Source organism: Homo sapiens, chromosome 11 (genome assembly GCF_000001405.40).
Source record: "Homo sapiens chromosome 11, GRCh38.p14 Primary Assembly".
NCBI classification, from domain to species: Eukaryota; Metazoa; Chordata; class Mammalia; order Primates; family Hominidae; genus Homo; species Homo sapiens.
Window position 1 is genome coordinate 62,958,248 of NC_000011.10, and position 26,949 is coordinate 62,985,196.

Here is a 26,949-nt window from a genome sequence, read left to right on the forward strand (position 1 = left end):
CGGCCTCTCAAAGTGCTGGGATTACAGGTGTGACCCACTGCACCCAACCAAGGGCATCTTTTCTTTGCACGGCTGTGACTAATGGACAATGGGCCGGCAAAATCTCACTGCACTCCCCGTTGGCACACTGATAAGGTGAAGTGTGGACACCTGACTTAAGTGGGGAGGGGGAGGCGCATCAATATGAGGCACTAAGCCAATCAGAGCCTGTTCTAGGAATGTGAATTAAGATACAGAGAAATCTTCTGGTTGCTGATGGGCTCTAAATCTGAGAAATAATGAATCAGAGCTGGGACTGGTAGTCATCCCTTAAGAAGAGCACACAGATGAAATGGATTTAAGTAGGAGAGAGGAATGGAGTCAGTGTACAGAGATGCCTCTCGTGCTCCATTTCCTGGTTTCAGTTTCCCTGAGGCCTGAACACACTTTGTTTCCTGTTCTTGAATTCCCTGTAATCTCTGTATCCTTGCAGTCATGCCCTCTTTTCCCAAGAGCTGATTCGACGGGGTTTCTCTTCTTTATGACCAAAAGACCATTGACTAGAACAGATGTTAAGAACATGATCAATGTGACAGCTACTAAGTACAGAATGCAGCCTGATGAACCACTCAGCAGGCCAGGGTGACTACAATTGCACGTGTGTGTGTGTGTGTATGTTTACGGGGAGGGGCATTAAATCACTAGAGATGAAAGGACCCTCCCCCCGCCAACCCCGCCCCATAACCATCTTCTCTTTCCCGTCTTAGTTCCTTGGCTGCTCTCCATCTCCTGGCCCCAGCTGCTAAGATCTATTTCTAGATGAAGTCAGCAAACTGTTTCTGTTTCTAAGACTCTGAGTCCAGAATTCCCTGCTCAGGAATGTCCCCTTTGCCCTCACCACCTGCACTCCTCCTCTCTCCCTTTCTCTGTATCACCTCTTCACCTTATGGGATTGTTTTATCCCTCAGGGTTTTTTGACATTTTGAGAAAATGAAGTAGACCATTCAATTCCTGTAGCAGTGTCTCTCTCTGGTGGGGGCTGGGAGGCAGGGAGCAGCTCTATGCAAGGACTCCATGTCTTCTCTGCCAGGAAGCTCCCTAGCTCCGTTCTGGGTAAAACTTTTCGAAGCTCCAGGGTCTTCCCAAATTCAGACAAAGTTGGGTCAAGGTTGCACAGTCTGCGTCTGTAGGTGGGATGGTAAGATGAGGGCACAGGGGTTGGAAGGGGGCAGAGGGCCCAGCTATCCTCATTTCAGTCACAGTGGTCATTGGGAAAGTGCTGTTGTCATAAATCCAGCCATTGGTGCAGGGCTCTGTGGCCCCATGTTGTTGGCATCTGTGTCATTAGGAAAAGGTGGTCCCCACTGGGAGGAGGTGAAGTGGAGGCAGGACTGAGGCCACACCTGCCAGTCTTGGGGCAGCCAAGCCTCCAGCCACCTGTCCTTGCTGAGGTTGGCGTTGGCAGGTGGGGGCAGCAGGGGTTGGGTGGGGAGAGGCAGTGGCAGTGAAGTTTTGCAGAGTGGTGTGCAAACACAGGAGGAGCACTGGGAGGACCACCAGGGTGACTTGGATCTGCTGGAAGTAGCTGACACCCCCCATTTTCTGCATGAGGTCATTGAAGGCCATGGAACTAGGCCTGGTCAAGTGGCTGGGGGCTGGGTCTGCAAATCAAGCAACCTGTTTCCTTTCTTCCAGTGGAGGAGGAGGAGAGGGGAGGAGAGGGGCTGCCTTTGTCTCCTGCACTTATCAGTTCCTGGGTCTGCTGTAGCCCTAGGCCTCCTAATGGCCAGCAGTAGTTTGTTTTTGTTTGTTTGTTTTGTTTTTTGTTTTGTTTTTTTTTTTTGGGATGGAGTTTCACTCTTGTCACGCAGGCTGGAGTGCAATGGCATGATCTTGGCTCACTGCAACCTCCGCCTCCTGGGTTCAAGTGATTCTCCTGTCTCAGCCTCCCAAGTAGCTGGGATTTACAGGTGCCTGCCACCATGCCTGGCTAATTTTTGTATTCTTAGTAGAGACGGGGTTTCACCACGTTGGCCAGGCTGGTCTCGAAATCCTGACCTCAGGTGATCCGCCTGGCTCGGCCTCCCAAAGTGCTGGGATGACGGGCGTGAGCCACCGTGCCTGGCCCAGTAGTTTTTATAACTTCTTTTAAAGCACCAAGTTAAACTGACTCAAGAGTCAGATATTTAATTATAAGACTCATCAGGTCAATGGTTTGTTCCAGGAGGTCAAATGGGCAAGTAAAGTTGGATTTGGCAGAGGAAAGTACCTTCCTGTGAAGGAGGGACATGTTTGAGTCTCTTCACTACACTGGAACAGGTGGGGAGGAAGGGAAAGCACCAAGTGTGAAGGGGGGCCCAAGCTGGTGTGAGCATGAAGCCTGAGCTGAGCTCTCCTTTCTCAGGGCCAGGTCCTACCTCACTCTCAGCCAGACTGAACTGGGGAGACTCTGAAGAGCCCATGCAGAAATGCCGTGGTACGTGGGCTTTGGCATCCCTTAACCTGTGAGCATCACCTCTGCGTGAATCCCGGAGCCTGGGCCTTCGGCCCTAGACGAGGGCCAGGACACAGCTCAACCTTCACTTGAAGGAGGAATTCTTTGTTAGAAGTTTGTGTCAGTAGGGTCTCTTTTCTCATAATATCTTCTGTAGTTCACCCCCAATTTTTTTCCCCTTTCCAGAATTGTACCAGTGTATGTGACGTGATAAACAGCCATCAGGTGCTTTAACATTCTTCAAGGGTCTGGGCATACTGGGGTCTGCACCATGCACAGGGCCCAGGCGAATCCAGGTGTTCTGACATCTTGGCCCCTGTTATGGACTGAATTGTGTCCCCCTCATTCATATGTTGAAGCCCTAACCCCCAGTGTGACTATATTTGGAAATAGGACCTTTAAGGAGGTAATGAAGGTTAAATGAGGTCATGGGGTGGGGCCCTAATCCAGTGTGACTGGTGTCCTTACAAGAGGAGAGAGAGACAGCAGGGTGGGACGCACGTGCCCAGAGGAAGGGCCATGTGAGGACATGGTGGGAAGGCGGCCATCTGCAAGCCAAAGAGAGGCCTCAGGAGAAACCAAACCTGATGACAGCTTGATTGTGGACTTCTAGCCTCCAGAGCTGTGAGAAAATAAATTTCTGTTGTTAAGCCACCCAGCCGTGGTATTTTGTTATGGCAGCCCAAGGCTGTCACTTATATCTGTAATGTAACACAATTCTAGCCAAGAAATGTGGCAGGAAGCCCATTGTGGGGGAGGTGGCTTTTGGGAAAGGTCTTCAAAAGAGATGTCTTGCTCTTCCAAACAGATATGTGAGGAGTAACTTCCTTTTCTGCCTTTGGATGCTGTGTGAGGGGGTGATGCCTGTAGCCACTGCAGCCCTCTTGCTGTCATGAGGGGAGTTGTTGACCTGCTGAGGAGAGGGTTGAAAAGAACCTGGATCCATGATGATGTCAGGTGCCTGAATCATGGAAGCCAGCAAATCTGCTATCTGCTTTTTTTCTTTTTGGAGCGGGGGCTTAAGCCAGTTAGTTTTGTGTCACTTACATCTGAAAGAGTCCTGGCTAATACTTCCATCATAAGAGCCATAACCTGGGCTGGGCGCGGTGGCTCACGCCTGTAATCCCAGCACTTTGGGAGGCCGAGGTGGGTGGATCACGAGGTCAGGAGTTCGAGACCAGCCTGGCCAACATAGTGAAACCCTGTCTCTACTAAAAATACAAAAAATTAGCCGGGCGTGGTGGCGGGCACCTGTAATCCCAGCTACTTAGAAGGCTGAGGCAGGAGAATTGCTTGAACTCAGGAGGCAGAGGTTGCAGTGAGCTGAGATGGTGCCACTGCACTCCAACCTGGGCAACAGTGGAGACTCCCTCTCAAAAAAAAAAAAAAAAAAAAAGTCCGGCGCAATGGCTCATGCCTGTAATCCCAGCATTTTGGGAGGCCGAGGTGGGTGGATCACCTGAGGTCGGGAGTTTGAGACCAGCCTGACCAACATGGAGAAACCTCGTCTCTACTAAAAATACAAAATTAGCCAGGCGTGGTGGCCCATGCCTATAATCCCAACTACTTGGGAGGCTGAGGCAGGAGAATTGCTTGAACCTGGGAGGTGGAGGTTGTGGTGAGCTGAGATCGCGCCATTGCACTCCAGCCTGGGCAACTAGAGCAAAACTCCGTCTCAAAAAAAAAAAAAAAAAAAAAAAAAAAGAGCCATAACCCAGAAGCACAGGGAAACTGAAGCCAGGGAAGCCTCTTAGGCTGAGTGATAGAATGGCTGTATTAGTCAGGGTTGTTGGGTGTAAACAACAAAAACAGACTGTGGCTAATGTAAGCTGTAGAAAAATCACTGGAAGGATAATGGGCTGCTCACGGAATTGATGAGAATCTGGCTCAGAAATGGGCAGGAGCTGAGGGAGGCCAGGAAACAGTTTGGCTAGGATGCCACTGGAGTATTCCCTGGAGATTTCCACTCCTCCCTGGACTCTCACAGTCATTGCTATTGTGTGTCATTTCCCAAATGTTCCTGCAGCTTTGTGTTCTATCGCAAGAGTCAAGGCCCTAGGTGGGAGTACTGATTAGTTGAACATGGTTCATGCACCTGAATAAAACTTTATTAGGGTTTAGTATATGCAATAAAATGCATCAATTTTGGGGGTACATTTTTACAAGCTCTGACAATTTTTTTTTTTTTTAAAGACAGAGTCTCGTTGTGTTGCCCAGGCTGGAGTGCATTGGTGCCATCTCAGCTCACTGCAACGTCCGCCTCCTGGGTTCAAGAGATACTCATGCTTCAGCCTCCTGAGTAGCTGGTACTACAGGTGTGAACTACGACGCCCGGCTAATTTTTGTATTTTTAGTAGAGACGGGGTTTCACCATGTTGGCCAGGCTGGTCTCAAGCTCCTGACCTCAGGTGATTCACCTGCCTCGGCCTCCCAAAGTGCTGTGATTACAGGCAGCTCTGATAAATTTTTATACCATGTAACCACTATATAGAACATTTTCATCTCCTGCCTCTCCCACCCCAGCAATTCCCTAGTACTGTATCCTAGCCAAGTCTCATCTTCTACCCTAGGCAATGGATTTGTCTTTTCTGGAGTTTCAAATGAATGATATCATACAGTATATCCTCTTTTGTGTCTGGCTTCTTTTGCTCAGCAAAATGTTTTTGAGATTCATCCACCTTGTAGTGTGCCAGTAGTTCATTCCTTTTTTTTTTTTTGAGATGCAGTCTCACTCTGTTGCCAGGCTGGAGTGTAGTGGCGTGATCTCCACTCACTGCAACCTCCACCTCCCGGGTTCAAGAGATTCTCCTGCCTCAGCCTCCCGAGTAGCTGAGACTACAGGTGTGCGCCACCAAGCCCAGCTAATTTTTGTATTTTTAGTAGAGACGGGGTTTCACCATGTTGGCCAGGATGGTCTCAATCTCTTGACCTCATGATCCGCCCATCTCGGCCTCCCAAAGTGCTGGGATTACAGTCGTGAGCCACCGCGCCTGGCCCCATTCCTTTTTAATACTGAATAGTATTCCATTATGTGTATAACCACAGTTTGCTTATTCATTCACCTGTTGATGAACATTTGTGTTGTTTCCAGTTTTTGGCTATTATAAAGAAAGCTGCCATGAACATTTGTGTATAGTGAGGGGACATGTACTTTCATATCTCTTGGGTAAATACCTAGAAGTGGAATTACTAGGTCATATATTTAACTTTATCAGAAACTGTCAAATTGTTTTCCAAAGTGTTTCCAAATTTTACATTTCTACCAGCAATGGATGAGAGTTCCAGTTATTCCACATTCTTGCCGACATCTTGATATGTCCAGTCTTTTCATTTTAGCCATTTATATGAATATGAAGGGACATCTCATTGTGGTCTAACTTGCATTTTCCTGATGACTAATGATGTTGAGCATTTTTTCATGTGCTTATTGGCTATTCATATATCTACCGTGGTGAAGCGTATGTGTAATTTTTTTTTGCCTATGTTTGAATTGGGGTGTTTGACTTCTTTTTATTGAGTTGTAGGAGTACTTTTTATATTCTGCAGATTTGTTTGCATAGCTCTCTCCTCTCCTGAGAAATCTAGCTGCCTTGGCCATCCTGAACTTCTCTTTTATTCTCCTCAGCTCAGTGAGGTTGCTGGCTCTGTTTGGATTCCACATCTCCACACTGCAGTCCAGAAGTTGCTCCCAGGAAGAAGGCCTGGGTGATAAAAGTTGGTGCAAAAGTAATTGCAGGTTTTGCAATTAAAGGTAATGACAAAAACCACAATTACTTTTGCATCAACCTAATAGTAGGCCTTAAATAATCTGTTTCCCTTCTCACAGAAATTACAGTCCTGCGCTGCCTGTTGTCCAATGTCTGAACATTGTTATTTTTCACATTTCCTTCAGTTTTCTAGGATTTTTTTTTTTTTTTTTTTTTGAGATGGAGTCTCACTCTGTTGCCAGGCTGGAGTGCAGTGGCATGATCCCGGCTCACTGCAACCTCTGCCCCCTGGGTTCAAGCGATTCTCCTTGCCTCAGCCTCCCAAGTAGCTGGGATTACAGGTGCCTGCCACCACACCCGGCTAATTTTTTTATTTTTATTTTTTATTTTTAGTAGAGATGGGGTTTCACTATGTTGGCCAGGCTGGTCTCGAACTCCTGACCACATGATCCGCCTGCCTTGGCCTCCTAAAGTGCTGGGATTACAGGCATGAGCCACCGTGCTGGGCCCAGTTTTCTAGTTTTTTTTTTTTTTACAATGGGAGAGTTGTTTTGGAAGTTTATTATTTCCTGATGACTGGAACTTTTCCTTTTCCATTCTGAATGCATTTAAAACAACAGTGTTCCTTGTATAATTGAAAGTGTCTTTCTTCCTCTCTAAAGGGGGATGCTGGGTAGCGAGTAGAGGGAGAAACTTCCATTCTTCTGGCTTCTTGTTTCCTTATGGAATAAGGAGTGGGTTATTTGATTGGTGAATCTGGGAGAAGGAATAGAGCATGTATAGCTACTTTCTTCTTCTTTTCTTTTGGGCCCTTTTTACCTTCAGAGAGCATGTGCTTTTTATTGTTTTTGGCCACATGGTAAGGTATTTGACAGCTGTGTCTCTCAATTGGTTCCATACGTGGTGCAGAAGAGATGCATTTTCTTTTTTTGAGACAGGGTCTCACTCTATCACCCAGGCTGGAGTGCAGTGGCATGATCACAACTCACTGAAGCCTTGACCTCCTGAGCTCAAGCCATCCTGCCACCTCATCCTCCACGTAGCTGTGTTACTGGAAAGGGGTCCTGATCCAGACTCCAAAAGAGCGTTCTTGGACCTTACATAAGAAAGAATTTCAGGTGAGTTCATAGGATAAAGTGAAAGCAATTTTATTAGAGAAATAAGCAAACAAATGAATGGCTACTCCACAGGCAGAGCAGCCCTGAGGGCTACTGGTTGGCTATTTTTAGGGTTATTTCTTGATTATATGCTAAACAAGGGGTGGATTACTCATGAGTTTTCTAGGAAAGGGGCAGGCAATTCCCAGAACTGAGGGTTCCTCCCCTTTTTGGACTATATAGGGTACCGTCTGGATGTTGCCATGGCATTTGTAAACTGTGATGGTGCTGGTGGGAGTGTCTTTCAGCGTCCTAATGCATTATAGTTAGTTAGCATATAATGGACAGTGAGGATGACCAGAGGTCACTTTCATTGCCATCTGGGCTTTGGTGGGTTTTGGTGGGCTTCTTTACTGCATCCTATTTTATCAGCAGGGTCTTTATGACCTGTATCTTGTGCTACCAATCCTGCCGAACTTCTATCTCATCCTGTGATTAAGAATGCCTAACCTTCTGGGAATGCGACCCAGTAGGTCTCAGCCTTATTTGACCTAGCCCCTATTAAAGATGGAGTTGCTCTGGTTTGAATGCCTCTGACAGCTGGAACCAAGTGAAGGATTTCTGAGTGATGTCTTCTTCTTTAGTTATGTTGCAATGCCGTCGTTATGCTATGCATAGAAATAAGAAAATATTGTCTTTAATGTCTTCAATCATTTCTGTTTATGGAAATGTATTCGGCAAGAAGTCATGAGACTACAATAATATATCAGTTGTTAGGATTCTGCTTCCAACCAAGATGGAGGAACAGGGATTAGTAAATAGTAAATGCTCTCCTGCCTTTAACTAATAAAAAAACCTGACAAATTAGGTTTGTATGATAACTGTTTTTAGACATTGGACAATAAGCAGTTCAGAACAGTTGTTCCTGAGAGAGGCAAGCAAACAGAATGAGCCTTATGAACCAGTTTACTTCCTGGAGAAAATTTGCAGGCTGCAGAACAGGGAGAGGGGATCTACTTAGAGCCCAGAAGTCTCCCTGGGTTGAGGAAACAAAGTTGGGAGTCTGGGGAGACCCAGGTGGCAAGAGTTCACAGGGCAGAGGACTGGAGAGGAGAGAGCTGCATAGAACACTGGAGATTTGTAGGGGGTTTTGTTATTAATAGAATCTTCAGGTGAGTAGTGGTTGATGCATACATTTGGTGAAAGAACCTAGATGATTCACAGAGTTCACACAGGCCAGGAACAGTTTATCTTCCCACCAGCCACAGTGAAGATAAAACTCATAGCATTCAGGGCACTGGGTAGAGAACTCAGAAAGATCACTTGAGAGGAAAAATTAGCAGCATCTCTGCTCTCACCTAACAAAACCTAAAAGCAAGCCTTGAAAAGTAACTTATTGTGACCCAGAAAAAAGTTCAAAAATAGGCCGGGTGTGATGGCTCACGCCTGTAATCCCAGTACTTTGGGAGGCCTAGGAGGGCAGATCACCTGAGGTCAGGAGTTCGAGACTAGCCTGGCCGATATATAGTGAAAGCCGTCTCTACTGAAAAATACAAAAATTAGCTGGGTGTGGTGGTGCACGCCTGTAGTCCCAGCTACTTGGGAAGCTGAGGCAGGAGAATCACTTGAACCTAGGAGGCAGAGGTTGCAGTGAGCCAAGATTGTGCCACTGCACTCCAGCCTGGGGAAGACACTGTCTCAACCAACCTAACAAACAAAACAACAAACCAACCTAACAAACAAAAAAGTTCAAAATAAAAACTATAGGTCCCAGATCCAAGAAGGTAAATTAACTCGGATATGATGATGTTATAAAAACTGCAAGGTGCATCATAATCAAATGCTTAGAACCAGGGATAAAGATAAAATCCTGCTTGCAAACAGCTGGAGGAAAAAAAGACACATTCATGTAAAGCAAAAAATATAAGAATAGCAGCAGATTTCTTGTCAAAAGTGATGTAAGCCAGAAGACAATGGAGAAATACCTTTAAAAGCTGAAAGAGAAAATCTGTCAACCTAAAACCCTCTACCAGTAAAAATATCTTTCAAAAATGATAATAGAATCAGTGCCTTTTCAGGCATACAAAAGTTGAAAAAACACAGCAGCAACATTTCTGCACTACAAGAAATGTTAAATGAAATTAAATTTATACTTAAAAACCACCCCACAAAGAAGATTCCAGGAACAGATGACTTAACTGATTAATTCTGTCAAACATTTAAGGAAGAAATAATACCAACTCTACACAAACACCTACAGAAAGGTGAAAAGTAGGAAAGACTTCACAACTCATTCTATGAGGCCGAAATTACCCTGATACTAAAACCAGACAAAACATTACAAAAAGGGAAACTAGAGACAGGTATCTCTCATGAACATAGATGTAAAATTCTTAATATAATTTTATCAAATTTAACAAAAATTATAAAAAGGATAATACTTCTTGACCAAGTGGGGTTTATTCCAGAAATGCAAGATTTGTTTAACATTAAAAAAATCAGTTAATATAATTCACCATACTAATAGACTAAAAAAGAAAAACCATATAATCATCTCAATAGATGCAGAAAAAGCATTCGATAACACTCAATATCCATTCATGATAAAACTTCTCAGCAAACTAGGCATAAAGGGAACTTCTCAAAATAGATAAGCTGGGTGTGGTGGTACATGCCTGTAGTCCCAGCTACTCAGGAGGTTGAGGAAAGAGGATCCCTTGAGCCCAGGAGTTCAAGACCAGCCTGGGCAACACAGAAGGATCCCATCTCAAAAAATAATTGATAAAAGACAACTATGGAAAAAATATAGGTAACGTTATACTAAATTGTGAAAGACAATGTTTTTCCCCTAAGTTCAGAGACAAAGATATTCACTCTCACCACTTTTATTTAACAGTGTACTGGAGATTCTAGGCAATGTAATAAAGCAACAAAAAGAAATAAAATAATTCCAGAAAGGAAGAAAAAAAAATATACCTTTATTTGCAAACAGCATGATTGTACCAAAGATCCTGAGGAATCTACAAAACAGCTATTGAGACTAATAAGTGATTTTAGTGAGTTTTCAGGATGCAAGTAGGATATATTAAAAAACCAGTGGTATTTCTATATACTAGCAACAAACAATTGGTAATTGAAATAAGAATACCATTCATAATAGCTGTTAAAGCAAAATAAGCAGGAAGTTATTAACCTGGAATTGTTTCTGTATCCAGAACCCTTATACAAGCAAACTGAAACTTAACCTAGTGGCATTCTTTGTAACTAATTAATTTTGAAAAACCAAAACCAAACCAGATACCAAGCTTCAGCCAATCACAAATAGCCAGTTAGCCGTTAGTTATATAACTAGGAACTTTCCACCAGATCATACCCAAATAAGACAAATAGTGGCTGAGCATGGTGGCTCATGCCTGTAATCTCAGCACTTTGGGAGGCCAAGGTAGGGGAGTCACTTGAAGCCAGGGGCTCGAGACCAGCCTGGTCAAGATGGTGAAACCCTGTGTCTACAAAGAAAACAAAACAAAACAAATGCCTACCTGTAGCCAATTTATTTCTTTACTTCTGTGTTCAGACTATGAAGATCTGCTTGTAGTGCTTAAGTGCAGCTACATGAACCTCTTCTGATTTTGAGTGCTGCCCCATTCATTAATGCTTTAATGCTCAAATAAAATCTGTTACATTTATTTTGTCTGAAGTTTTTCTTTTAACATAGTATAAAAATATGAAATCTGTAGGGATAAATTTGACAAAAGATGTACAAAACCTACACAATGAAAATACAAAACATCATTGCGAAGACCTAGATAAATGGAGAACTATATCATGGATTGGGACACTCAATATTATTAAGACGTCAGTTTTTCCCAAGATGATTTATGATTCAACATAATACAAATAAAAATCACAGAAGTTTTCTTGGTAGAAATGTACAAGTTGATTTTAAATTTTATATGGAAATGCAAAGCATCCAGACTAGCCAAAACAACTTTGAAAAAGTTGAACAAAGTTAGAGAATCTACACCGTCTGAGTTCAAGGCTAACTACAAAGTTACATCAATTATGACAGTGTGGGATTTATGTAAAGACAAATAGATCAATGGAACAAAATAGAGTTCAGAAATAGAGCCATACGTATGTAGCCAACTGATCTCTAACCAAGATGTTTAGACAATTCAATGAGGAAAAGAAAATCTTTCAACAAATGGTGCTGGAACAATTGGATATCCATATGCAAAAAGCAATGAACCACAATCTGTTTACCTCATGTTATTTACAGAAATAACTCAGATTGGATCATAGACCCTAAATATAAAAGTTAAAACTATAAAACTTCTATTAAAAAAAGGAGAAAAATTCAGTGTCCTTGGGTTTGGCAAAGATTAAAAAAAAATAAGACTCAAAAAGCATTAACTATAAAATCAGTAAACTGGACTTCATCACAGTTTAAAAACTTTGTTCTTTGAAGTCACTGTTATAAAACTGAAAAGGCAAGCTGTAAACATGGAGAAAACGTTTGCAAAACACATATCTGGCAAGGGGCTTGTTTTTGAAATATATAAAAAGTTTCCAACTCAACAATATGAAACAAACAATCAAAATTTTAAAATGTGCAATTTTTTTAACAGACACCTCACCAAAGAAGAGGTCTAGATGGAAATAAGCAAGTGAACAGTTGCTTTAGATCATTAGTCTTCAGAGAAATGTAAATTAAAACTACAATAAGATACCAGTACACATTCACTAGAATGGCTTAAGTTAAAAACAGCAGTCAGACCAGGCATGGTGACTCATGCCTGTAATCCCAGCACTTTGAGAGGCTGAGGCAGGTGGATCATTTGAGGTCAGGAGTTCGAGATCAGCCTGGCCAACACGGCAAAACCTCATCTCTATTAAAAATACAAAAAAATTAGCTGGGTGTGGTGGTGCGCACCTGTAATCCCAGCTACTCAGGAGGCTGAGGCAGGAGAATTGCTTGAATCCAAGAGGTGGAGGTTGCAGTGAGCAGAGATCGCACCACTGCACTCCAGCCTGGGCTACGGAGAGAGACTCCATCTCAAAAAACAACAACAAAAAAAGCAATCATACCAAGTTTTGACAAAGATGTGGAACAACTGGATCTCTCATATACAGCTGGTGGGAATATAAAATGTTAAGAAAATTGTTTGGCTATTTCTTTTTGTAAAATTTTGGCTGGTGTGTTAGCTCATGCCTACAACCCCAGCACTTGGGGCCAGGAGTTTGACATCAGCCTGGGTAACATGGCGAGACCCTGTCTCTACTAAAAACATGGTTTAAAATTGTTTATTTATTTTTATTTTTTAGAGACAGGGTCTTGCTATGTTGTCCAGGCTGGTCTTGAACTCTTGGGGTCAAGGGGTCCTCCTGCGTCAGCCTCTTGAGTTACTGGGATTATAGGCATGAGCCACCAAACCCGGCTGTTTGGCTGTTTCTTAAAAAGTTAAACATACACGTTACATAGTACTCAGCCATTCCACTCCTTGATATTTAAGGATAATATAATGGAAAGATGAAACTAATCTGGGCAAGAGAATCTGGTTCAAGAGAAGTAGAAACCTATGTCTAGAAGGAGCATGAGAAAACTTTTGGTGGTGATGGATATGTTCATTGTCTTGATTGTAGTGATGGTTTCATGGATGTATGCATGTGTTGAAACTCATCCGATTTTACACTGTAAATATGAGCGACTCTGCCTGGGCATCATAGGGAGACCCTGTCTCTTCAAAAAAATACAAACATTAGCTAGGAGTGGTGGCCCTTGCCTGTAGTCCCAGCTGTTCAGGAGGCTGACATGGGATAATTGCTTGAGCCCAGAAGGTTAAGGCTGCAGTGAGCTGTGATCTCACCACTGCACTCCAGCCTGGGGCCAAGAGCGAGAGCCTGTCTCAACAATACCAACACCACCACCACCTGAGCAACTAATTATCTGTCTGTTGTATTTCAATAAAGCTGTAAAAATATAAGATATCTTTGACCACAAATCATAGAAAAACGAACTCACACCGGCTTAAAGTATAAGGAGGACTTAAATTGTTACCCTTAACAATCAGAGCAGAGGTAGGTGGTGCCAGTATTGATTAAATTGGTGGGGTTAAATCATCAAACCCCAGATTAGTTCCATCTTTCCATTACAATATCCTCATTGGTTGCCTTAGTCCATGCTCCGGTTTCCCTCTGGGTTACAGGATGGCTGCCACAGTTCTGGACATCCATCCAGACTCAACGTTGTCCGCCACCTACATCTAAACCCTACATTCAGCCCTTACAGGCTGCTTGGTCTCTTCTATGGGTGTGGTTCACATGGCACTTACTATTGCTACTGGGGTGCAGGATTCTATCGGGGGAGGGGTTTAGGAGGAGCAGACCTCACTAGAATGGGTCAGGGAACTGAGCCTCAAGTTCATCTAGCTTATTACTGCAGAATTTTTTTTTTTGAGAGGAGTCTCGCTCTTGTTGCCCAGGCTGGAGTGCAGTGGCACGATCTCGGCTCACTGCAACCTTCACCTCCCAGGTTCAAGCTTCTCCTGCCTCAGCCTCCTGAGTAGCTGAGATTACAGGCAACCACCACCACACCCAGCTAATTTTTGTACTTTTAGTAGAGATGGGGTTTCACCACGTTGGCCAGGATGGTCTTGAACTTCTGACCTCAGGTGATTCGCCTGCCTCAACTTCCCAAAGTGCTGGGATTACAGGCATGAGCCACCGCACCCGGTCATTACTACAGCATTTTTGCAGTAGAGTCTTCCGCTGTTCTATGACTATGACATGAACCACATGGAGACAGTCACATCTCAGAGAACATCCAAATGGTTTTCTTGAAAGAGGAGGTGCAGTGGGGCAATGGAGTCTACCCAGTCAGTGTTTTCCTTTTGCTTCCTGCACCTATGACACAATTTTCCTTTCACAATTTTTAAACACAAGGAATGGTAGTGGTGGGAGTGTAGCACAGAGCAGTCTAGGAGTCCCAAACTTAAGTGTCTACAAGGGCTAGTGGCTAATTTAGACTCTGTGAATCCGACAAGCTATAAGACAGTAGGAAGAGGTGAGGCCTGTGATGATCCAGACATTACAACCCATCCCTACAAAAATTATAGTGCATGGGAAAAAGAAAATCTCCAGAGGCCTCCCTGGAGGAATCTAAGAACAAGGGATGCATATCAGTTTCATATTGCTGTTGTTAACAAACTGCCACAAATTTAGTGGCTTAAAACAGTACAGATTTGTTCTCTTGTAATTCTGGAGGCCAGATGTCTAAAATCAATATGTCAGCAGGGCGTGGTAGCTCACGCCTGTAATTCTAGCAGTTTGGGAGGGCAAGGCAGGCGGATCACCTAGGGTCAGGAGTTCGAGACCAGCCTGTCCAACATGGTGAAACCCTGTCTCTACTAAAAATACAAAAATTAGCGGGGCATGATGGTGCACGCCTGTAGTCCCAGCTATTTGGGAGGCTGAGGTGGGAGAATCACTTGAACTCGGAAGGCAGCCTGGCCAACATGGCGAAACCCCATTTCTACAAAAAATACAAAAAGTAGCTGGGCATGGTGATACGTGCCTGTAATCCCAGCTACTCGGGAGGCTGAGGCAGGAGAATTGCTTGAACCCAGGAGGTGGAGGTTGCAGTGAGCCGAGATTGCGCCCCTGCACTCCGGCCTGGGTGACAGAGTGAGACTCCGCCTCAAAAAAAAAAAAAAAAGAAAAAAAAATCAATATGTCGACCCAGCTGCGTTTCTTCTGCAGGCTTTAGGGGAGAATCCATTTCCTTGCCTTTTAGAGGCCATTTGCATTCTTTGGCTGGTGGTTCCTTCTTTTTTTTTTTTTTTTTTTTTGACAACACCAAATGCGTTTACTTAGTGGTTTGAATGATAAGTTATTGAATGAATTGAGGTTTATGGTCTCTGTTTTGACTTGAATGTGTTTTTTAAAAATTCTTTTTGGTCCTTTCTTGCTTCACTCCACCCTCTTGCTTCTGTTGTCTCATCTACTACCCACTCTGATCTCCTGCCTTTCTCCTATAAGTACTGTTGTGACCACATCGGGTCCACCCAGATAATCCAGGATAACCCACCCCTGATCTCAAAATCCTTAGTTTAATCACAACTGCAAAATCGCTTTTACCATGTAAGGTAACATACAGGTTCCAGAGATTAGGATGTGGGCATATTTGGGGACCATTATTCAGCTTCCCACATGATATGAAATTTAGCTATTTGGGCATCTGCTCTATATGTGACCCAAATGGGTCATGCAAACTCCCAGGAAAGGGGAGAGAAGAGCCTAAGGGAGGGGCTTGGAGTGGTGTGAAACTGGGGCTGTCAAGGTGGGACCTGGGATGATGGCATGGAGCCCTGAGAATGTGGCACTCTACAGGACCAGGCAGTTGAGGATCCTCCTGAGTGTGCCATCCTGGCCAGGAAACTGAGGGTGGCTACAAGGCCCTGCCAAGCTGGCTGAGGATAGGACCTGTGGTCAAAACTGGAGATAGGCCAGGTGCAGTGGCTCATGCCTGTAATCTCAGCACTTTGGGAGGCTGAGGCGAACGGATCACTTGAAGTCAGGAGTTCAAGACCAGCCTGGCTAACATGGTGAAACCCTGTCTCTACTAAAAATAGAAAAATTAGCCAGGTGTGGTGGTATGCACCTATAATCCCAGCTACTTGGGAGGCTGACATTGCAGTGAGAATTCCTTGAACCCGGGAGGCGGAGGTTGCAGTGAGCTGAGATCGTGTCACTGCACTCCAGCCTGGGCAACAGAGAAAGACACTGTCTCAGGAAAAAAAAAAAAGGGGGAGAGCATCTGAGGCCACTCTGGTGGGGCATGACAGTGTCCCAACTCAGCCTCAGGGCCAAGGCTAGAGGATGGGATCTGAGCCTGTGTTTGGGGCTGACTCCTTGGGGAGGCAAGGTCAGAAGTCACTTACTGGTGACTTAGAAGTGGGAGGAAGGTAGGGTTCTCTTTTGTCAAGGGCACAGGATGAGTATAGGAAGTCCCAGGCCAGGAGCTAGGGGAATGGATTCTGTGTGAATGGTCTGAGCTGGCTGAATCAGCACCCAGGACTTTTACCAGTTGGGGTGCAGCTGGGGCAGGCTACAGCTGGCTCTGGGCAGCCTTGCTGAGGCATCTGCAGATACCAGGTGATCTGAGCACAGAGATGAGAGACTTGCAGGAGGAGCCAGGGCATGTCAGAGTTGCTGGCAGGGTCTGGAGCCAGTGGTAGGCCAAGTCACTGGTCTCAAAACCCGGGATCTGCAGAAGCAGGGCTAAATCCATGTGTCTCGACTCCCGGTCTCAGTCCAGACACTCCACGAGGCTCATCCATGAGGGCAGTGCTGCCTGAGAAACTGCAGGATGACTGGGGCTGATGACCCACAAGCAACCAATGGGAGCATGAGGAGTTTCAGCACCAAGGGGGAACACCAAGGCTTCAGATGTTCCAGGAGGTGAGGTGGGTTGTGGTGATTTCTGCTGTGCCCAGATTTGCCCTGAGAGTCCTGTTGTCTGAGTTGCTGTGAGCTCTCCCCGGGCTGTGTGGTTTTTTTTCAGGGGATCTTCAGGCCAACCTCTCTTTCCAGATTGCCCTAAGTCAACCTGAGCCCCTGGCCAGGGTCCCACCTGGAAGGCAGTGTGTACAGCTCAAGTAATGAATGTAGACTTTCCCCTGGGGGATAAGGGGCTGGCTCGCGGGCCAGGCTGGCTGCTGGGGATAGGGTTCCAGGCAGTGTGCCAGCGAGCATTTATGGCAGGGTGCGGCAGGCCTCACTCCTGCCACCTGTAGGTGTGAACAGGGCTGCATTTCTCGGGCTGCCCTTCTCGGGCTGCCCCAGGCTTCCCTGAAGTGAGCTATTTTGAGGACACAGATGCTGGACATCCTGGTCTTTTCCTGACTGTAACCCTTAAATTGCCTTCCCCCCAACTCCTTTCACATGGTTCCTCCCATGATCATCTCCCTTCCTCCCCTTCTCGTCCTTTTCTTTTCAGCCCAGAAGGAAGGAGGAGAAGCTGGGTCCTGGGGGTGAAAGAGGCTAAAGTTTCAATGCCTCACAGCTCCTGGCAGCAGAGGGGTCAGGCACACATATCCTGGTGCCAGATTGTCTGGATTCTCATCCTGACTCCACAATTTACCAGCTGTGTGAACTGGACAGGTTACTTAACCTCTCTGTGTCTTGATTTTCTTATCTGTAAAATAGGGAATAATTGTAGTAATCTCCAAGGGTTACAGGGAGGAGTAAATGAGTTAATATAGGCAAATGGCTTAGGACAGTGCCTGGCACATAGTTAGCATTCAGTGCTGGGTCTCACTGGGTATGTTCCCCACTCCCCCTTCCCTCTTCTCTTCCCTCCACCAGCCCAGAGCCTACAGGAGGCAGAACAACCAAGAGAGCTCAGGTAGTGCAGCAGGCAGGATTAGGTTAGCTAGCAGGCTAATCTAGAGCGGGTTTTGAGTCCAGACCCTGCTGGAATCTAGAGATTCCATCATCCTGAGCATGCTGCTAGAGGGGCCAACATCCTGAAGTCATAGCTGTTGTCTTTTTTTTTTTTTTTTTTTTTTTAAATAGAGGCAGCGTCTCGCTATGTTGCCCAGGCTGGTCTTGAACTCCTGGCTCAAGTGATCCACCCGCCTCGGCCTCCCAACGTGCTGGGATTACAGGTGTGAGCCACCACACCTGGCCAGCTATTGTCCTTTTTCTTCTCCTTTGCTGTCAGAGGTTCCCATCTGCTCTCAGAGTGGGAGGAGCTTGAAACAAAGCCTCTGATTGGCTGCTTTCATTTCAGCCTGTCATTTCAGCCCTTGTCAGTTTCCAGCCTGACAGGGAAGGGAGGAGCATTAGATATTTAGCTAAATCTCACAGAAATATTTGAATAGGTTAGAGGATGGGGGAGGGAAGAGGGAGGGATAGAAAGGGGCAAAGGCAAGAGTCTTTTCTAATTTTCTGGGATGGTTTGTAAAGTCCCGGGGATGGAGTGGGTGGGAGGGGACTGTATGGCCTCTTGGGCTGGAAGCTGACTAAAATGGAGTGGCCATTCCTTTTGAGACAAGAGAGACACAGAGAGATGGTGCGCAGTCAAACCTTTTAATGATGTGGTTCTGGTGGGGTTTATAAAGGGAGGTGGACCCCTGGGAAGATGCTTTCCTGAACCACAACCCCCACACTTGGGTCACCATTTCCTCTTCCTCCTCCTTGTGTGGGTGGCCGGAGACCTGTAGGACCTTCCCTCCCTTTAGGGTTCTGTAAGGCCCCTTCTCAGTCCTCAGAGTCCATTCTTCTCTTGTGCTGAGGCCTGCAGTGGGACCATATACTTCTGGTGCTCTTGTTGCTGTCGCGTCTGTTTCCCTTTCCTGCAGGGCGGCAGAAGAATGGCACTCTGGGTATGCAGCCTCCAGGCCAGGGCCGGGATATGGAGGCTCCCAGGGGGTCTCCGCTCAGCTATGCCTGGACACCTGCTCTCTGCCCCAAATACCTACTGCTCCCTGGAGCTGGGATCCCCAGGAAGGATTCTAGGAGAAGCTCAGGCAATTGGGGACAAAGGGACACAGAGCTTTGGGCTAGAAGAGGAAGCCTGGGCTTGAGTCTCAATACCACCCCACCCTGCATGTGTTACCTGGGATATATCCCTGCTTCTTTCTGAGTGGGGGCCCACCTGCTCTCCAGGTCCTGCACCGTGTCTGGCAGTGGCTGGCCCAGGGTCTCTGGCAGGAGGACAGTGACAGCGCTGGCGGCCACAGGAACAGCACCGTAGATGAAGAGAGGCATGGAGGGGTAGAGCTCGGCAGTCATGCTCACCAGTGGGCTCACGATGCTGCCCACTCGGGCCATGGTGCTGCCCATTCCCATGCCTGTCTGCCTGCAGGGCCCGCAGCAGATGGGTGTTGGTTAGAGTTCCAGCATGAATGCCCAGATGCTGGTCCCATTTGGAGGGTGGCAGCTCAGGCTCAGCCCCCAGGACACTCCCGGTACCTCCTCTCTTCCCCATTTGATTAGCAAACCAATTTGGCGATTTTTTTTTTTCTTGTAGAGATAGGGTCTCTGTGTTGCCAGGGCTGGTCTTAAACTCCTGGGCTCAAATGGTCCTCCCCCACCACAGCTGTTGGTGATCTTTTGAAAAAGAGAAGTTGGAAAGGGTTCTGGCCAGAGAATAAGGAGACTTAAGATTGAATTTTGCCTTTGCCCTTAACTTGCTGTGTGACTTTGGGCAAGCCCCTTTCCCTCCGTGGGCTTCAGTTTCTGCAGCTGTCAAATGATTCAGTTGTGGTACACCTATGGTTCTCAGATCACCTGGAGGAATTGTGTTATAGTTGCAACAAGCCAACATACACCTATTGGATTAGAATCCCTAGGGGGAGGGAGCTGGAATCTGCATGTTAAGAACATTCTTCATGAGAGAAGAGGTTAAAAACATTGACTCAGGAGACATACTGCTTGGGGTTCAAATGCATGCTTCACCATTTGTTAGCTGCATGATCTTGGAGAAGTCACTTAACCTCTCTTTGCCTCAGCTTTCACGTTTGTAAATGGGAATAATGATAGTGCCTACCACAATGGCTTGTTATGCAGATTAAATGAATTAATATTTGTGAAAAGTTTAAGACACTGCCTGGTACATAGTGAGTGCTTCGGATTATTGCTCTTTCATCTGAAATCTGGTAAGGGCACAGGACCATGACCCTCAGGGTTCCACTTTGCAGACCTTACAGGCCCACTCCAAGTAGCCCAGGGAAGCCTGACATTTCTTTGTTATCTCATGTAAATTTTGCATCCCATTCTTGTTTATTTTATTTTATTTTATTTTATTTTATTTTATTTTATTTTATTTTATTTTTTTGAGACAGAGTCTCACTCTCTTGCTGGGGCTGGAGTGCAGTGGCGCGATGTCAGCTTATTGCAACCTCCGCCTCCCAGGTTCAAGCTATTCTCCTGCCTCAGCCTCCTGAGTAGCTGGGACTACAGGTGTGTGCCACTATGCCCAGCTAATTTTTGTATTTTTAGTACAGACGGAGTTTCACCATGTTGGTTAGCCAGGATGGTCTTGCAGGATGGTCTTGATCTCTTTTTTTTTTTTTTTTTTTGAGATGGAGTCTTGCTCTGTCGCCCAGGCTGGAGTGCAGTGGTGCCATCTTGGCTCACTGCAAGCTCCGCCTCCCGGGTTCACGCCATTCTCCTGCCTCAGCCTCCCAAGTAGCTGGGACTACAGGCGCCTGCCACCACGCCTAGCTAATTTTTGTATTTTTAGTAGAGACGGGGTTTCACCTTGTTAGCCAGGATGGTCTCGATCTCCTGACCTCGTGATCTGCCTGCCTCGGCCTCCCAAAGTGCTGGGATTACAGGCGTGAGCCACCGTGCCCGGCCGGTCTTGATCTCTTGACCTTGTGATCCACCTGCCTTGGCCTCCCAAGGTGCTGGGATTACAGGCATGAGCCACCGTGCCGGGCCCCCATTCTTGTTTCTTAATGCAAAAATACTGCCCTCCATCTTAGGACTCAAATAAGCAATACTATATTTATTCCTATTGCTGGGATATTATCAGGAGTGAATCTTGAGATAGGAAATTGCTTTCATGTTTGTGGCCTTTGCTTTCAGATATATCACTTGGTTTATAGATGGAATGTAGATGTGGTGGCAGCTTCTAATTTGTGTTTTGGAGATTAAAGGAAGACTTCAATTTGTTGTCTCTGAGATGTGTCTTCTTGGTTCCTTACCCTGCCCCAGTTGGTGGCTACTTTTGAGATCTTCTAGGGTCCCGTAAGGGCTTAGAGGACAGTAACACCTGTGTTAGCTAGGCCATGAGGTGTGTACTCAGTGGCTACTATGTGCCTTGCAATGATGAGTGTTGGGAGGGGCCTTTGGGCTGGGATGTACTTGATTTAGCTCTGGGGTCTGACCTGTGCACAGAAGAATGTCTTTCCCCAGGAAAAGGCTGTCATTCTCCCATTAGGCTCCCACTCACCGGATCATTGTGGGATACAGTTCCCCAGTATACAGGAAGATGCAGTTGAAGGAGGCAGCCAGACAACCCTTCCCCAGCACAGCAAGAGAGGTTCGGACAATGGACTGGTCTAGAGAGAAAGAAGGGGGGATAGCAGGAGCTTGGGAGTGGAGGCTAGGAGGAATTGGCCCCCTCCCTTCTGAGATATTGGGTTATGTGTGGGGATGGGGCTGAGGAGAAGGGGCCAAGGTGCTCGTGGGTGCTCACCCTGGGGTATCACCCCATTGAGCAGGATGCAGATGCCTGCCAGCAGCAGTGCAGCCATCTGGGCAGGCCGGCGACCCAGGGAGTTGATGACAAGGAAGCCCACAAGCTTGGCAGGCAGGTCCACAGCACCAAAGATCACCTGGATTAGGTAGATGCTGACTCCAAAGCCCTGCAGGTCCATGACCAGCCCATAGTATGCAAAGCTAGTGGCAAACCTAGCAGAGAGAAGAGAGGAGTATGGAGTTTGTTAGGAAGGCTTAAAGTGGGGTGCTCTTTCAAAACAGTGGGGGAACTGCATTGGGTACCCTGCTTAAGGAGCTGGAATCTGCCTTGGCTAATATTTCTTCATTTAACCATATCATTAAACTGCAGAGTTTAAGTATTGAGGTAGTCCTGTAATACTCCAAATTTGCCAATCTTCTGATAACTAGGGTTGCAGTTAATTGGGGGAATTTTCACTTAGTTGCTCTGTAGGATTTACATAGGTTTAGTTTTCATCTTATCAATTGATGCTGGACTGAGGGAGGGCAGGTGCATACCCAAGCCATCTTCAGGGCCAAGGCAGCTGGGAGAGTAGAGAGAGCCTTCTGGGACCTGTCCATGGTCCTGGGATGAGTGTTGTGCTTTTTAAGATGTCAAGAGCCCAAAAAACGAAGCTCAAGATTATTGGCTAGAGCCCATGACTGAGAATAAATCCCAAATTGGAAGCAAATAATTCATTGGCAGGATTGTTCCTTCTGACTATGTTTCCCTTAACTGTCATGGGATTGCTATGGTGATGGGAAGGAAGGATAATGGGGAGTGTTGCAAAGGGAAAGGAAGATTTTCTTTGGCCTTGGCCAAAGTGTTCTTTGGAGATGAGTTTTAGTCATCTTGTTGCCTGTGCCTGTGTTTCTGGCAGGCACCATCAGGCCAGTAAAATCTATGAATATTTTGCAAGCCAGACTGGTCTCTGCCTTCATGATGTAAGTCTATTGACTCTGGAGCCCACTGGTCCTGATGAGGTGTCTCCACATTGGAACAGGGCTAGTGAAAGGACAAGATGGGGAGACTGGTGTCCCGTGTGGAGACTGGGACTGAGTCAAGGCTGGGGGCATCTGGTTCCTAAGGATGATCCCTAGTGTGGGGTTACTGCTTCTCACAGCAGGTCTGCTGACCTTCCTGCCCTCTTCTCTGGCCTCTTTCACCCATTGTGTCTCCTCCTGCCCCAGCCAGCCTTTTGTCTCAGTCTGTCTGTCTTTCTGGGCCTACCACAGCATGGAGAGGCAGAGGAAGAGGTGGCGGAGGGTGGGGCAGCGCAGCAGCTCCATGGCCGATGCCTGGCCTTTGCCCATGGTCAGCTCCTTCTGCAGACTGGCCCGGAGTACCTGCTGGGACCGGCAGAGCTCAGGGCCCGGGATCCTCCCAAGGAGCTCCTCCCAGCCTAATCCCTTACTTAGAGGAGTTCCCTGGGCCCTGGGTCCTGGGTTTGGGGTTTGGGGGTGAAGCCCTGGGAGGTTATCATGGGAAGTCTCAGGGGATCTCACCTCCATACTCAATTTGGCTCCTTCTTCCCGCTTCCCATTGATCCGGGCGACTCTCTGCAGGGCCCTCAGGGTGAGGTCCAGCCTCCCGGAGGAGGAGTGCCAGCGGGCCGACTCAATGAAGAACCTGGGAGCGGGGGTGGGGGTGGGTGTCAGCATGGCTTCAGTTCCAGTCAGCTGGGTGGGGGGCTGGGGCTGGGCTTTCTAGGGGTCTGCGATGGGATTTTATTTAAGGTTGGGAACCCAGGGGCCTTGCCAAATCCCTCTCTCTAGGACCACGAGGCAGTGCCCAGCTTGGTAATGACATATTCCCCAATCCAGAAGCTCAGCTCTTGGTTGCGGGTAGGGGGAGCAGAGCAGGCAGGCTGGAGAACGGAGTGGGGGAAGCCAGAGAATTGGATATCCTGGGGCAAAGCCTTCTCCCCACAGCCTTGGTTTCCCTATCTGTCACACAGAGGCATTGGACTGGGTTTGACCTTCTCTACATTTGTGGGATGGGATGTGTGCTGAGCTCTGGGAGATGTCCTGTCCCTTGCAGCCTCTGGGCTCCTGTGGCAACCACCTCCAACCCTAGGCCCCACGCACCAGGAGTAGATGAAGAAGGCAAAAAAAGGCGCAGAGACCAGTAGCTGCAGGTGGCGCCAGTGGGGCACAGCGTAGGCCACACCAGCCAGGAGGAACTGGCCCAGGCTGTAGACATAGCCAATCAAGGTGCCCACGCAGGCCCGTGTGTGAATGGGCATCCACTCCACATCTGGAAAGAGGGTTAAGACAGGATGCTGCAACTACCTGGGCTGCTGGGCTAGTAAAGGCCCCTCCCTCCATCCAAACCTTGGCCTGTCCCAAGGCTCAGTGGAAAATGCATCGAGTAAGTTGAGTGCCAGGGTGATGGGAGTGGGGGAATTTCAGTGGAGGTATGGATGAGGAGCTGGGTTCAGAATATCTGGGAACTGCCCCCTCCACACTCTTGATTTTTTTTTTTTTTCTGCTCCTCCTCAACCTATTCTCCTGGCTAGAGTTCCTTCTCCATTGAGAGCACCTCTGGCCACTTGGTCTGTCTTCAGCAGCAACCATTCCTCTGGTCTTCCTCAGCTATGGGCTGGATTCCACTCTCAGTGGCCAGAGCATCTTGGAGGAGGCAGTGGCTTTTCTCCATCCTGGAGTCTTGAAGTAGGAGTGGGACCACCTCTCTGGTGTGGTCTGGAGAGGCCTACCTCCTGTCCAGGTGGGCTCCCCATTGGGCTGCTGGGACAGGGACTTGGATACTTAGGCTGGACTTGGGGGTTGGATTTCTTAGGTGTCTTGCCCAGGCTCTAGCCCAGTCCCGGTTAATTCCTCTAGTCCAGAGAATCCCAAATCCCTGGATTCCCTTCTGTGGTTGAGGAATGCCCTTGGGTAAATCCTTTCCCTTCTTCTTGGCCTTGGATTCCTCATTTGGGAAACATGGGGTAAGCGGGGGTTGATCCATCAGAGGATGCTCATCAATGGCCCATGGAGAGACCACACTCAGTCCACAAATGTGTCTTGTCTGCACGATGCTGCCTCATCCTATGTTTATTATTAGAGTTAATTGCAAACATGAAAAAAAACTGGGTTATTTTACATTAATCAAAGAGGAGGGGGAAGCTATGACAGCCCTAGGATCTCCTGCCTGGAGCAGCTGCATGCCTGTAGTGTCTCTGGATGAAGGTGTCTCTCCTTTGAATACAGTTCTCACCATTCCCTAATGCCTCCTGCACCTGGCCGTCTTACATGATCTGCTGGCTCTAACAATGGAGTTTGCAATCCTGCTTTTTTTTTTTTTTTGAGACAGAGTCTCGCTCTATTGCCCAGGCTGGAGTGCAGTGGCGCAATCTCCGCTCACTGAAAGCTCCGCCTCCCGGGTTCACGCCATTCTCCTGCCTCAGCCTCCCGAGTAGCTGGGACTACAGGCGCCTGCCATCACACCTGGCTAATTTTTTGTATTTTTAGTAGAGACGGGGTTTCACCATGTTAGCCAGGATGGTCTCGATCTCCTGACCTCGTGATCTGCCCGCCTCGGCCTCCGAAAGTGCTGGGATTACAGGTGTGAGCCACTGCGCCTGGCCCGCAATCCTGTTTTTAAATGAGGGGTCAGGGCGGCATGAGCCTGAGAAAAGGTTGTTCTATTGGCAGGAAGGTGAGACCCGAGAGAGGCTGGAGGGCAGGCAGGGCTCAGGAGGGGCAGGCTGGGAGGGGAGGCTGGAAAGGGGTTGCTGGGCTGGGTGGCCGGAGGGGAGTGGGCTGGTAAGAATCTCTCACTCAGTGTCATGCAGTTGAGGGAGATGCCAGCCAGAGCCATGCCCGAGAGGAGCCGGAAGGCGCAGTAGATGGGGAAGTTGGGTGCGAAGGCTGCGCAGGTCCCTGACACAGCTGTCTGCAGGTAGTTCAAGATGAGTACCTTCCGGCGGCCTAGCCTGTGGGAGGAGGGGAGACTTGTAGCAGGGCCCTGGAGACTGATGGGGGTCAGGCTGAGCCAGGAGAGGAGGGCTCACCCTGGATGATGCCTGGGCTGGGGCCTTTTGAGGACCTCTGAAGTATGAGGCTGGTGCTGTAGATCCTCAAACCAGCGCCGGCTGGCAATGCCAAGCTCCCACCTAGACACCCTGAGCCCAGCTGAGCCCCTAATCCCAGCCCAGCCCAGCCCCTTGACCCTACCCAGGACTGACCTGTCTGCAAGGTAGCCGAACACCATGGCTCCGAGCAGCACCCCCACCATGTACAAGGACTGGGCCAGCTGGCGTAGGGCCCTGTGAGAGCACACAAGGTCCCACTGTGGGGAGAGGAGCAAGGGTCAGGCAGAGATGAGCCTGGCTTCAGAGAATCCCCTTCCCCCACTTCAGCTGGTCCTCTGGGGTCCATGTCACCCTCTTCCTCCGGCACTTTGCCCTTTGCCTCTCTGGTCCTGACAGCTGAGAGCATTTTTCTTTTTAACTCAGCAGTTAAAAAACTCAGCAGTTAATTTCTCCATGTACTTTTTTTTTTTTTTTAACAAAGGCCCCCATCTTCCCATCTTGGCCCCTGGATGGGGAGCCCCAGGTGCTCACCTCAGTCACGATGGTAGATGGGAAGGTGCTGTTGTCATAGATCCAGCCATCGGTGCAGGGCTCTGTGGCCCCTGTGCCATTGGCTTCTGTGCCATTGAGAAAGGGCAGTCCCCACTGCGGGGAGGTGAAGCGGAGGCAGGACTCAGGCTGCCCCTGCCTGTCCCGGGGCAGCCAGACCTCCAGCCCCCCGTTCTTGCTGAGGTTGGCATCGGCAGGCGGGCGGCAGTGGTGGGTAGGGATGGCAGCAGTGAAGTTCTGCAGGGTGTTGTGAGAAGCCATCAGGAGCAGGGGGAGGACCACCAGGGTGACCTGGATCTGCTGGAAGCGGCCGACACCCCCCACCTGCTGCAGGAGGTCATTAAAGGCCATTGGGCCAGGCCCAGCCCAGTGGCTGGGGGCTGAGGCCTTCCAGTCCCAGGACCTCTGTCTGTCTGCCTGCCTGCTGTCCTTCGCTGGAGGAGCAGCACTGCCGTTGCCTCCGCAGCTGGGTTGCTCCGGGAGCTGAGTCCGAGCTGCTCTGTGGGGGGACAGCAGCCTCCTTGGCTGCTCCTCCTTCTTCCCCGGTCTCCCTGATCTGTCCCTCCCTTTTCCCTTGCAGCTTCTCCTCACTTTGGGGGTCAGGGCAGCTCAGCTTTCAGGGTCTGCTGGAGACCTGACCCTTGCATGGGCAGTTTTTAATCCTTGGCCTGGAGGGAATGAGTTAAAGTGTGACTTGGTATCAGAAGGATTAACCCTCCAAGGATTCCTTGTGTCAGTGGAATTTCTCCAAGTGGTTATAAAGGGCAGGAGAGGGTGGACTGAATAGGAGCAGGGAGAGGGGTGTATTAGGGGGGCATCTGGGGGCAGGGGGGGCCAGAGTGGGATCTATTGGACCT

General features: G+C 47.8%; 1 protein-coding gene across 5 annotated transcripts, besides 2 other annotated features; it reads right to left on the reverse strand.

The window, feature by feature from the left end:
* Nucleotides 490-784: a silencer, noted in NCBI's record as "tiled region #15118; HepG2 Repressive non-DNase unmatched - State 24:Quies". NCBI's record gives its function as "represses a minimal TATA promoter and a strong SV40 promoter by Sharpr-MPRA in HepG2 cells {active_cell/tissue: HepG2}" and the evidence as "EXISTENCE:reporter gene assay evidence [ECO:0000049][PMID:27701403]".
* Nucleotides 18,350-26,720, reverse strand: SLC22A6 (solute carrier family 22 member 6). Of its 5 annotated transcripts, none has more exons than NM_153277.3 (10): nt 26,075-26,720; nt 25,697-25,800; nt 25,290-25,444; nt 23,595-23,763; nt 23,013-23,136; nt 22,738-22,853; nt 21,487-21,701; nt 21,241-21,349; nt 18,937-19,008; nt 18,350-18,634 (listed from the first exon to the last, which is right to left on the reverse strand). In NM_153277.3, the coding sequence occupies exons 1-10, from the start codon at nt 26,441-26,443 to the stop codon at nt 18,547-18,549; spliced, it is 1,521 nt and encodes a 506-aa protein (NP_695009.1). In that variant the 5' UTR covers nt 26,444-26,720; the 3' UTR covers nt 18,350-18,546. The 5 variants fall into 5 exon arrangements, with proteins under 5 accessions (NP_695009.1, NP_695010.1, NP_695008.1 ...); NM_153278.3 differs by having other exon boundaries at nt 18,898-19,008; NM_153276.3 differs by having other exon boundaries at nt 18,937-19,140.
* Nucleotides 25,857-26,407: an enhancer, noted in NCBI's record as "H3K4me1 hESC enhancer chr11:62751576-62752126 (GRCh37/hg19 assembly coordinates)". NCBI's record gives its function as "activates a minimal SCP1, AML or CMV promoter by ChIP-STARR-seq in primed H9 embryonic stem cells {active_cell/tissue: H9 hESC(primed)}" and the evidence as "EXISTENCE:reporter gene assay evidence [ECO:0000049][PMID:30033119]".
* Nucleotides 26,721-26,949: the final 229 nt, after the last annotated feature.